General features: G+C 35.4%; 1 protein-coding gene and 1 pseudogene across 10 annotated transcripts in view; one reads left to right on the top strand and one right to left on the bottom strand.

The window, feature by feature from the left end:
- Nucleotides 1-2,297: 2,297 nt before the first annotated feature.
- Nucleotides 2,298-13,142, bottom strand: part of NETO1 (neuropilin and tolloid like 1) — a 125,674-nt gene continuing 114,829 nt past the window's right edge. For 2 of the 10 annotated variants that reach the window (NR_148694.2, NR_148695.2), the window contains exons 9-12: nt 10,046-10,604; nt 8,998-9,072; nt 8,247-8,293; nt 3,740-8,148 (exon numbers count right to left, since the gene is read on the bottom strand). Coding sequence is in view for 8 of the 10 variants with exons in the window: in NM_001201465.3 (NP_001188394.2) it covers nt 9,012-9,072; nt 10,046-10,604 (620 nt within the window). In the remaining 2 variants the exon portion in view is untranslated. Of the gene's footprint in view, nt 2,755-3,739; nt 9,073-10,045; nt 10,605-13,142 lie in introns of those variants that run through there. The other 8 variants (NM_001201465.3, NM_001354018.2, NM_001354017.2 and 5 more) reach the window with 5 other exon arrangements.
- On the top strand, nt 11,936-12,035 carry RNA5SP460 (RNA, 5S ribosomal pseudogene 460; annotated as a pseudogene).

Raw genomic sequence — 13,142 nt, forward strand, 5'->3', positions numbered from 1 at the left:
ATTCATAAGAAAGACTGAAAATATGTCTTTGAGGACTTGTAAACCATTAACTTACAGAAAAAGGTGGAAAAGAAATTATTGTAAATGTGAATACCAACTAAAATTACAAAACTTTCTTGGCAATTTCAAAGCCTTTTTATAACTTTATACCTAGGCTTTGGATAAATAATCTCCAGGAAATACCATATTTTTCCCTACTTATGGCAATTCACGAAAGCAAAAATATACATTTATAAAAATATTGAATGAGTGTAGACAGAAAAGGCAACTGAAATTACAACTATGGCCACTATTTCCTTTTTAAAAAACTTTTAAGTTCAGGGTAAATGTGCAGGTTTGTTGTGTTGGGTGTTTGTTTTACAGATTATTTCATCACCCAGGTATTAAGCCTAGCACGCATTCGTCATTTTTCCTGATCCTTTCCCTCCTCCCACCCTCCATCGGAGAGGCCCCAGTGCTGTATGGTTCCCCTTTGTATGTCCATGTGTTCTCATGATATAGAAGAATTGGTCTTCTCTATAATGATAATAGTTTATACATGGATAATAGGCCTTGGGGTCAGGGATGAGCTTCTGTGAGGAATAAAGAAATTTAACGAATGTAATTTTTCCACTCATTTGCGCTCATTTAACAACACGTATTGATTACCAATTACGTATAATGCACCTTGTTATTTTGAAGAATACGTAGCTTGGTCTGTTCTGATGCCTGTCTCTGAGCACATGTTCTAGAAATTAGCAATTCTCAATTACCCATTACTGATAGCCTGTGTTGGCGCCTCTTCCAGTATGATTATCTTCTCTCTTACAGTGTATGGTAGCACACTAAGAGGTACTAGGCAGTGTCTGACTCTGGTTCCTTCCTGCCTTACTAGCCCCTACATTTTTTTCCCATTTAGTCGTGTCTTGATCTCTCAGAAACTGATATTCACTGATTTGTGTCTTTGAAAGGTGAAGTCTGTTCCTGAACTATCTAGTGCTATTGGAATCACTGAGACAGGGCAATCATTTTTGTTGGGAATGCCTGAGCTGTAGGTACAGAAAACTGTAATACATGAGGCATTTTTCCTGCTCTGGAGAGCAAACTGCTAGAACACCAGTGTAGGGGCCATGGCCTACACTGTGGTCCCACTGATGTCATATTGCCTGTGTGTGCATATCAGTTTTTTTTTTTTTTTTTTTTTTTTTTTGAAGCGGAGTCTCACTCTGTGGCCCAGGCTGGAGTGCAATGGTGCGATCTCAGCTCACTGCAACCTCAGCCTCCTGGGTTCAAGCGATTCTTCTGCCTCAGCCTCCCGAGTAGCTGGGATTACAGGCACCCACCACCATGCCTGGCTAATTTTGTGTGTGTGCATTTTTAGTAGCGATGGGGTTTCACCATGTTGGCCAGGCTGGTCTCGAACTCCTGACCTCAGATGATCCACCAGCCTCGGCCTCCCAAAGTGCTGAGATTACAAGTGTGAGCCACCATGTCTGGCCGAGTTCTAATGTTAACAGAAACCTTCTTCACTAGGTGTAGCCTCAATTTTACAAATAAAGAAGGTGAGGGCCACATTGGCTCATGCCTGTAATTCTGACATTTTGGGAGGCTGAGGTGGGTAGATCACTTGAGGCTAGGAGTTGGGCAACATGGCAAAATGCCATCTCTACTAAAAATACAAAAATTAGCCAGGGGTGATGGTGCAGACTTGTAATCCCAGCTACTCAGGAGGCTGAGGCATGAAAATCGCTAGAGCCTAGGAGGCAGACGTTGCAGTGAGCTGAGATAGCCCCACTGTACTGCAGCCTGGGCGTCAGAGTGAGACTGTCTCAAAAAAGAAAAAGAAAAAGAGAAAAAGAAAGAAAAGAAAAGAAAGGAAAAGAGAAAGAAAGAAAAAGAGAGAAAGAAAGAAAAGAAAGAAAGAGAAAGTAAAGGTGAAACTCAGAGGATTCAAACAGATTTTTAAAGAGCACATAAATAGTAAGAAATAAAACTAAATTTGATTTTCACTGCAGTACACCACTTTTATATATTGTAATGTTGCTTATGAAACTGCATTTACCAACACAGCTGTCTACTTCCTTGCTTATCTACCAGGATGCTATTACGTGAATTTATGCCAAACAATTATCTGTGACTGAAATACAAGATTTGCTTTCCAGTGTTGCTATTTCTGTGTATACTTCATGATGAGTGCTTTGGGGGTTACTCAGGAGCTCTGGCATTCAATGTTGAATGACAGATGATGAACAACAGCACTTTGACATGATGATGCAACAAAACAGCACTGGAAGAAATATCATCCAGACACAGAGTCATTGGATTTGGAAAGTCATATATTTTATGGTGGACAAGTTCTGAGGGGGGTTACTCTACATTGTTACTCTTTATAGATGATACTTTTGTTCCATGTCGATCATAAAATGAAGTCTACACATGATTTAGGAAAAATGATTTATTTTTATAATGCATTATAGGATATAAAAAATATCTTCCAATGAATGGTCATTTGAACCTCACACGCTGTAAGGTGGAGAGAAGGTGTTATAATACATACTTTTACAGATGAGGAAACACAAAACTACGGGGTTAATATGAATAAGTATCAACTTCTTTCAGCAGTACGTACTATGTTGAATATTAACGTGGTTATATTACACATTGGTGAAGAGTGTTGGTTGATCTTGTGGTTGGTGAGGTTGGCTTCAAAGCTTGATTCATCATTGTTTATTGTGTAATCTTAAAAAAGTTACTAAAACTCTTCAGTTTCCTCATCTGTACAATAAATAACAACAAATATTATTAATTAGTCATAGAATTGCTAAGATGACCAAGGAAAAAAATTACATGTAAAACACTCAAAATGGTGTTTGGCATGTGACCCTCAGTATGTTCGCTAGTCAACCATCACCTTGAAACAATAAAGTATAGTAGAAGTAAAAAAGCCAGACAAATATTCCTGGACATCTAACAATCTGCCCGTTACTCTTTCTCATGTCTTGTTTCTACACTGTTTTGATTCTACTGTATTTCACTCCCATTCAATTTAGCAAACATACCTGTCAGAGGCTTCTACTGAAAGTAGAAATCTTAAGTTCCATTCTGCTGAGATCTTAAAATATTCTCCCTTGAATAAAGTGTAAATTCCTTTGGATAGTATTCCATGCACTCAGAAATCATGATGTAAACTCAAACCTACTCTGTCAAATATACTTAGTATGTCTCCTGTCTATGTTCCAACCAGCTCAATTAGATGATCTTCTGAGCCTACATCTGCTTTAATTACTCTAGGTGGAAATTTCTCCCTGCACTACTATTTGACCATTGTCTCCATTCTTCAAGACCTGCTTAGAAGGTCAGTTATTCACAAAGCCTCTCTTGATCTTAAGAAGATACCTATATTCTCAGGTTTCTGCTACAAACTTCTTCATTATAAAGCATCATGTCTATTGAATTAACATTTGAATTTATTTTTATCTTCCATGGAAGATGATGAAGGAGGTAACCAGGGCTTTGCAATCAGCTTTGCATGATGGCCAACACAGCACATAATGTTGGGCTTAATTTTCCTTATACAGCTCCTGTAAGCAGTCTGCCTTCTACAGGGCTCTGTAATTGTGTTCCTTCCTAGACTGCCTTCTTCATTTTACCCTCAAAGTACTTAGGAAGGAGCTTGGTAGACAGACTGTGCAAGCTCAAAACAGCCTAGCTATATTGATATCACACTTAATGGAAAAGTGAATAAAGAGTACAAATTTGATAATGTGATATAAAAAGAATGTTTTATTTTAAATAATTTATACATTGTTTTCTGGTCATTTTTAAGTTTTGTGTCAGTATCTGTGACTATTAAGAGAGGGCACAAAAACAATTTTTCAAAGAGCAAACCACTATAAAATAGCATGCCTCAGAGGTTGGAAAGATGGCAGAAGTTGGGGACAAAAAAGAACATGTTGGCTGCACAGTACTTACAGATATAAAGGAGTAGTTTAACTACATGATCATACTGTTTCAGGAATAAGGAGATTCTGGAAACCAACCCAAGTAAATACACAAGTCCAAAGCAGGTTGAGTTTATTTTTCCTACCTCTGAGGAACTAGAGGCATTTTAAGAGAGCATTTACCTCTTTAATAATACACAAGAAAGTACAGAATCAGAGGCTACAAGAAAATGATGAGTTGATATGAGTGTCTGACATCAGTCACCCTAATTGTTATTTTTATTACCCTGTTTTATTTATTTTGATGATACAATTCAGTTAAATTTGTGGTACAATTCAAACAAGTTTATTAATAAAATGAATCATAATTGTAAATTAACAAAGGGCCTCAGATTTATTTAGCAGGATTATTTATAAAAACATTTCTGGCTATTTTAACAGTGTACTTTTATTTTTCTACCTTATTACACCTTTAAGATGGGCTTGGGAAATATTAATTAAGTGCATAGAGATTGATAATTAACTCAAGACCTGTTTATTTTGTTGTTGAATCTATTTTACAATTTCTTGGCTGGGTCCTTTACGCTAGAGTGCAATAGATAGAAATGAATCCATGGAGGGAAAAGGGCACAGAGAAAAATGGCACCGAAGCTAGCTCGCCTCAGTGCAATTAGACAAAACCCTAACTCACTTTTCAAAGCATATTTATTTAGAATTCAAAGAATTTTAAAAATGTTGTTTATTTAACTTCCCTTCAGAGAGGGAATCTGACATGACTCATTTTCATCAGAGATACACAAACTTCATAAGATGCTATTATTTATTTCACTGACAAAACATCAGTAAATTAATTGCCGCCACTTTAATCAAGGTAATAGGAACCAGGGGGTCATATCTTGTAATTTATTATGATATTCTGAGGTTGAGGAAAACCCATTCATGGAATTTTTTTAAAGCTGTAAAATTTGAGGAAGACCCGAATTAAATTCCTAAGGGAAAAATACAGAAAAAAATGATACAGAAGCTTAAGTGAATATTAAAGTAATGCCAACCGTCTAAGTTACTTAACACTGAGGATCATAACTTATGGAGTCATCAGACTCACGGAAATACTTCTAGAGCAAAAGTAAATGTGAAACAGAAAAACCAGCAACACCACAATGTGATTTGTTCTCCATTAAAAGCCCAAAGACACTGATCTCCAATTATGTGGACAGCCACATTTTGGTTACAAAATCAAATTCAAGTTAATTATGGCAAATCAAACACCACCTATGTCTACTTTGCAAGATAATGCTTAAAATTGGTATGTATATAAAAACATACAAAATAAATCAGATTTCCAAATTAGAACCTTGAAATTAGGCAACTACAATACATTTGGACAGAAGTACGAAGCTTAATATGGGGATTCATTGGCATTGCATGTGATTATATGCTACCATTATTTTGAAAAGTGAATGAAAACTTGAAAAAATAAAATGAAAAAGAATAGCTTTATGAAATTAACACAGCAGGCTAACTTAATGCATTATTTGAAATCATCTTGTTAAATCAATAAAGCACTTGGGTTGGTAATATTTGAATTCACTTTATCAAAAAATATAATCATTTATTAAAATAACATGTCTTATAAGTCTTGAGACATCTCATTCCTTATCTATGTGTGTCACCACCTTTAGAATGTGGGCCAAAGGCTGCATTCAGGTGATAAGGTCTGATATAGCTACTAAATCGTTTTTGATATATTGACAAATTTCAATACTGGCTGATAAATAAGCACCGCCAGAGCCCTCCAGAGAACATCTCCCAACTCTGCCAGAGCGCTGCACTCCCAAGTTTGAGCATCTAGAGTGAATGCCAGGAGAAAAGGCTACCTCCAGACACTGCCCAGCATCGTCATTATCTTCTTTCATGATTAGTCTGTGTCTGTACATTGTTGAGAAATTTTAGAGTTATCACTGAGGAGGCCTGTTCTTCATTTAAAATACAGTTGTTTTCCCATGAAGCTGCTGTGTGTTAAATATATGTGAGCTATTCATTCTTATTATTATACTTCATTTAGTGTTTTTTTTTAAAGTCCCATTGGTAGATTTCTGGTGAAAATACCTTTTAAGCAGGGAATCAGCATTCTGTATATTCAGGAGAAACTGGAGGGGACGGACATGCCGGACAGTTATAGAACAAATTAATAGTAAAATGTTCACCTAACTTATTTCACTATTTTTATTGCTGTTACAAATAAAAAATCTTGACAGTTATATCATACTTTTGAGATTATCATTCAAAGGGAAAGGAGTCCTCTGAAGATTTCTAAATGGAGAAAGCAATATAAGATATGATTAATCCTTTAAAAAAATCTTTGGTGTATTAATTTTAAATTAAAGGGCAAAAAAGGAACCATGGTAATAAATAAACCAGTCAAGCCAAATAAAAAAGGGTACATTTTATCATAAGCAATGTGTATAAAACTATGTAGCATAACAATGAAAAATAATCTTTGTCATGTTCAAAACCTTTTCTGATTCCCTAGTTTATCAAATTCATTGAAGTGATTCTGTAGCTTGACATTTTTTCAAGATAGAGTGTTTATAATGGCTATGATAACTCTTTGACTTTTCTATTATAAAAATTTATTTTCTATTTGCTTATTTTTTAACATATATGACATTGTATTCCTAGTAGGGAAGTATAACAGTAATTCATCTAGTTTGCAAAGCCTGCTTGAATTGCAAAGTCCAAATTTTAGTAGACCAGACTGCTCTGTTAGTGGAAGGACAGAGTTCTTTAAACCTGGAGAATTCAGTAGTTTTGAAAATGTTGGGAAGCATATATACTGATAGTAATTCTTATTTTAAAAATTTATTTTGTAAGATTACACATTGAATATTTTAAAAAATAACCACTCACCAAATCAAACTTTACAGAGTGTGTATATAATTTAATAGCAGTAAAATATATTTTAGGATTTTACTTTATGTTAAACACATCATAATCACTAAGCTTTCAGGTGTATTATGTGTACCTGAGAATAAGAATAATTCATAATGGTGGTTTAATTCATAAAAGGGCTTGTGATTTTAAAGCAGTTTTAAAAAGAGTTCCCTATTCTAAAAGAAGAAAATATTCCCCTAAACTTTTAGAAGCCAAATATTTTGGGAAGTAAACCTCAATACTGAAGGACATCCTGTACCCTAAAAGGTGGAAAGAGTTGACATAAAATGTGTATTTATGTGAGTCAGTTTTTTAATCACTCTAATGGAAGAAAACATTTCTCTTAACTCAAATTAGGAAATTATTATACATTTTATATATATTTATATAAAAAGTCGTAAGTAGCAAGCATATGACATAAAGAAATGGAAGAGTAACAACAGTATTTGACAATGCATGCTTTTCACAATGTGTCTAACAAAAAGGATATTTTCCCAACTCAAATATCCAGTACTGACATGCAGGGTATTTTCTCAAACTGTCAATTTGGTCATATTGCTGAGTGCTTAATCAAAAACATTTCTACTGTAGAGTATGAATGGTAAAATACCTGACTTCAAAAAGGATTTCTGAAACTCAGTACTTTCTTTGATATAAAACAAAAAGGAAATCAGGGGTATACAGGAAAGACCAAAAAATGAATTTTTTTATTGCAATCTAGTAATTTTACTTGTTACTTTTTCCTGTATTTAATCAGAATATAATAATAGGTGTGTATAGTCCATAACCTCTAGCTGGTGATTCCATGGTCCACACTGTCACTTTTCACTGTAGCATGTTCAAAATCATTCAGGAACGCACTATTCTCAAGCTGTCTATATAATGAAAACAATGTACATGTAACACAAGGTTCATCCAAATTCGTGTTTTTTTTTCACATATCACACAATGTACAATTATATAACAAAGACATAAAACAACATAGAAACAAAAGTGAAACTGACAATAAAAATAAAGTTGGGATAGTCTTAATCGGGAACTAATTTCTTCTTCAAGTTTCCAGTTAATCTCAAAATGTATTTAAAAACTAAGGAGCACTTGGTGGCCAGCAACCAAATTACGAAATGAACATATCAGTGTGCAGCGGGGATGTCTTGCCGAAGGAATAACAAATGTCTGTAATTCTTAAGTTTGGATAAAGGCAGTGGAATGAATTTAGAAATATGTCCACTTTTCACAATTCACTATAGAATTTTCTTTTCACAGTCCCCATGTTTGTATAAATAGTTCTTCTCTGAAAATAAAAAACAGTTAAAACATTTTCTCCCAATGAAAAATGCATACAAATACACCAATTTATTAAGGTAATATAGAGCATGGAAATGCATTCACCTAGTTCAAGAATAGTTGATAGGCTTGAGGAGTTTAGAAGAGATTAGCTGTCAAGCAGATTCAATTGGAGACAAATTAGGCTAATATAGATATAAACAATCAAGAGCAAAAAGTAAAGCCATTGTGATATCTGATGACAAAATCGATGTACACGTAGACAACTGGGATTAATGAAACCTTTTGCATTCAAATTTTATAGTATAAAATTTGACTTAACATGCTGCATTTAATTTTGATGAGATGAGCTACATATTCATGCAAAAATAAGAGTCTATAAATTGTGTCAGTACCAAAAATATTTAGTGTACGAATTTTGAGTACAATTGTTGCCAAATTACATAAAGAAAGTAGTTACCAGTTTTAAATATTAACTTCAGCTATACTGAGACTGAATATTCTATTTTCTTAGTTTAAAAACCTTGGTTTTTTTCGAGTATTTCTTTGGAGATAGTTCATTAAAACTTTACCTTAAAACATGTAAAGTTTAGATTATTAATTTGACGTCCTTCTAAATTACATTTTAGTACAATTCTTGATGTTAAGAATACTAAGATTTGTTTTAAAGGTATGTATCCCGAGAATCATCTCTCCTATAAACACTGAACCCATCGTATTTCTAATTGTGAAATGTCATGAAACACATATCTCAAGAAATAATGGATAAATAGCACATTCCCTAAAAAACTACAAGACAGTTGCAACAAAACAGAATACGACAAAGTAGGAAAAGGAACCAAGGGCATCTGCTTACCTTGAATTTTCTTTCTAGACCCTAGTTGTGTTGTATTCAGATTCATGTTTGCTTAGAGACCCAATGAGGCAGAACCTGGAATGTTATGGCTATTTCATTCAACAAAGTACTATTTGCACAAAAAAATATGTATACAAATATTTACTCAAAAGCATTTTTAAAATTCAGAAAACTGTGGAAATAGACTTATGTCAGCATGCAAAACATATCAAATCAACTGAAGTATTTTAGGTTTTGAGAATGTAATGAATGGAGAAAGTATGTCACGATTTATAAAATAAACTAAATGCTAGTAAACATGCAAAACGAAGTATAAGTTGACAAGATTTTGGAATTTAAAATAATTTTTCCTAAATTTAAATGTTTTTTCTCAAAACTTTTACTCATTTTAAGGCTAATACTACAACACAGATAATATTGCATTTATAGTTGAAGGAAAATAAATCAAATGTTTCTACTATTTCTTACAACATTTAAGTGTAAATGATGAATATACTATACTATCCTATGCAATTCCTAATATAAATATTATGTAATATGTGAAAGAAAAGTATTTTTGTGTTCCTACCAAAAATAAATACATTATATTGAAAAATATGTTATTTTGGGATTAAAATTGTCCATCAAGATGGGTGAGCCATCTTGGTAAGGCAATCGTTTTCAAATATCATTTCATATCTCAAAATATATAAATATTGATGGGAGCAATGGTCACATGGAAGTAAGTTTGCATTATAAATCTGTATTATAAATTAAAAGCCATCATTTTATAAAATAAATATGTGTATATGTTTAGAAATAAATAAAGTATCTTTGGTCTCTGTGTGCATGTGTGTTCACACACATACATATCGTGCACATGTATGAGGTTTAGGAAGAATATGGATAGCAGTGAAAAGGAAAAAGAAGAGGGAAACTATTGGAAAACTAGGGTTTAAATCATTAATTAAAGGGAAACTGAAATATGAAGACAAAATAGAAGACAATACTCTGGAAGTATTTCAGTCTTCAGGTTATAGTTGTCATCAAAAAATCTATTGATACTGACCGCTGGACGGCTTTATCGTGTCTGGACAGCCTGTGACTGGTGGTCGGCACCTCTTCGATTTCATCTATGTCACAGGCATCTGCAGCATCTTGCGAGTAGCTGTGTTTCATGACAAGGATATTTCTTCTGTTCATGGGTGGGATGAGGGGTTTTCCTGGCTGTGTGGGCATCTCTGTCAAGATAGAAGCATCTCTTGTGCTGAGGTTACTGCGGCTGCCTTTAGTGCTGGACAGCTGTGATCCACAGTGATGGTCATGAATGCATTTGGAAGATGACCTCCGCAGTTTATGGTAATTTTCAAAGTCATCTGCCACATCTGCAAAGTCAGCTGTAGCTCCTGTCCCTCTGAGAGTGCATAACTCATAATGAGGAGGTTCAAATACCTCCTGGAAAACTGTCTGGTCAAAGTCTGATTTCCTTTGGACATACTTTTTACGAGGCTGTTTGATCTGTACGATGACAGAGATGATAATGAGGATGATCACGATGCAGGAAGTCACGCCAATGACAGTCCCACTGGTGTTGGTCAGCTGGTCCAGCAGGCTGGTTTTCCTCTTCTCTATAGGTTGGAGAGAGTGAAAACAACAAACGGACAAAAGAAGAAGCAACGCAGCAAACATTAATATTATAGTCAAAATGTGTATTAAAAACTTAAAGTAAAGCAGGCTGAGCACAGAATTTTTACAGGCTTATAATAACTTAAGAAAATATTTAAAAATAAATACAAGGTCTCGTTTTTCACCAAAAAAATCCACTGAGCAGCCTTAAAAATAGCCCTCCCTCCCCATTGCCCAGCATCTCAGCTTAAAATACACACACACACACACACACACACACACACACACACACACAATCCTCTATCTATCTAATCTATCGTAGGTTAAGAAAATATTTTAAAATAAATACAAAGTCTCTTTTTTCACAAAAAATACACTGACCAGTCTTAAAAATAGCCCCCCTCCCCATCGTCCAGCATCTCATCTTAAAATACACACACACACACACACACACACACAATCTATCTATAAAGTAACAACAATATTCTGATACCAAAGGATAATTCAATTCAATCTGAAGACACACACTTTTGGAATGATGGCATGGACTCTTTCCCAAATGAAATAATCACAACTGGTAGAAAATTATTTTAAAAACTCAACCAATTAAAGCCTGGTTTAATGAAACTCAGGAAATTGTCCTAATGATGTACATCAAGTGGAAATATATTTATATAAACCAATCTACTAAATGTCCTTAGGACCAGTGAGAGTCTGTGGCATTTGAGCCATGACTTGCTTCCTCCACTCTTGATTCACCACGATGGGAACCCTACTCAGGGAGGTGTGGACAAGAACGCAGGGCACCCTCTCCCTGCAGCTCCCAGTTAAGTGAGTTATGGAATCTCCTTAGAAGGGGAAAGCTACCAGCATTTCTCAATGCCCAACCAGGTCCATGTTGGACATGCTTCTTTTCTGGCCTGAGTGGCTGAGATGTCTGGGGCTCCCGAGGTTCCTCCTCTCAGCCTTCACTTGGAGGGCAGGAGCTCAACACCAGGTGTCTCCAGTGGAGAATGCCAGGCTTGGATCATGCTTACCCAAGTTTGCTGACACAGGAGAGCTGCCTGGAGTGGCAAGTTGACAACACCACATGTTAGCAACCTCACCCAAGTGCTCTGTGCATAAACAGACCTGTACCACTGTTCCTGCCCCGACCCAGAAGAAGCTGTGCCCAGAAAGAGAGTCAGGCTGAAAGTACAGAAAGCATTATAGCTTCCCCTAAATAAAGTTAGTTTATTTGAAATGGTGTGTGGAGAAACTTAAGCCTAATGATAATTTCAAAAACTATGGAGATTTTGTGGTATGCACAGGCTTCTGGACATTCGAAAGTTCGTCTTATTGCTCTAAAGACACTAACTGCCTCTTAGTGTTTTATGAGGGCCTGGCTGGTACTTGGATAGGAGACCACCTGGGAATACCGAGTGCTGTATGCATTTAAGAGGCAGTGTGCAATTAAGTATGCAATTAAGAGACAGTTAGTGTCTTAAGAGCCATAAGACGAACCTTAGAACATCTAGAAGTTTAACAGAACGAGCTAGGAGAGTAACAGCTAATGAGAGTCCTCCTGGGTTATAACAACTCACAAAGGCTAGACTCAAGGACTACCCTTGCAATTAATTAAATTTAATTGACTAGACTGTAGAAAAATTTATGATCTTGGGCACTGTCAAAAGCAGTAGAGCAATCAGCCGGCAATTGGTGGAGACTAACAACTGGCTGCAATACCAACAGAGGTGATAGCTAAATAGAGAGAACAGGAAATGAGAGAGGCACAGAGAGCCCTGTTAAAACCGTGTTGCCCAAGGCTGATGGTGCGAAGTCCAAGGCGGTGGCCTCTGTGGTGCAGCATCAGAGGCTTCACTAAAATGGTCCAGCCAAGTCTACATTTAGAAACAAACAAGAAAAACTACAAGTCCTGGGAGGAAGGAGTTAGTATTCAGAGATGCTACTAATCTAACATGTGATTTTCAACAAAACATTATAATACATGTAAAGAAACAGTAAAGCGAAGTGTATATATAGGAAAAAAAAAAGCAGGCAATGAAAAGACCCTTTGGGGAGCCGGATATTGGAGTTGGCAAAGATTTCAAAGCAGCTATAATCAATATGTCTAAGGAACTAAAGCAAGCTATGACTGAAGAAGCTAAAGAAAATGAGGACAATGCTCATCAAATAGAGAATATTAATGAAGAAATATAAATCATATAAAAATGTAAAGTCTAGAATTGAACAGTACAATTACTAACATGATAACTTCCTGGAGCCTCAACAGTACATTTCAGCTGGAAGAAGAAAGTATCAGCTAACTTTATAAAGACAGAGGCATGCGAATAGTGCAATATGAAAATGAGTTTCAAAACAAGAAGGCAGAACAATAACAGAGCCTCAGAAAAAAAAATGTGGCAAATCAACAAGCACACTAACATACTGTAATGGGAGTATAAGAAACAAAGGAGAGATGGAAAGTAACAGGAAAAACAACAACAACAAAAAACTAGAGGAGCTAAAACTTCCCAAACTTAATTAGAAAACTCACATCC

This window comes from Homo sapiens, chromosome 18 (genome assembly GCF_000001405.40).
Source record: "Homo sapiens chromosome 18, GRCh38.p14 Primary Assembly".
NCBI classification, from domain to species: Eukaryota; Metazoa; Chordata; class Mammalia; order Primates; family Hominidae; genus Homo; species Homo sapiens.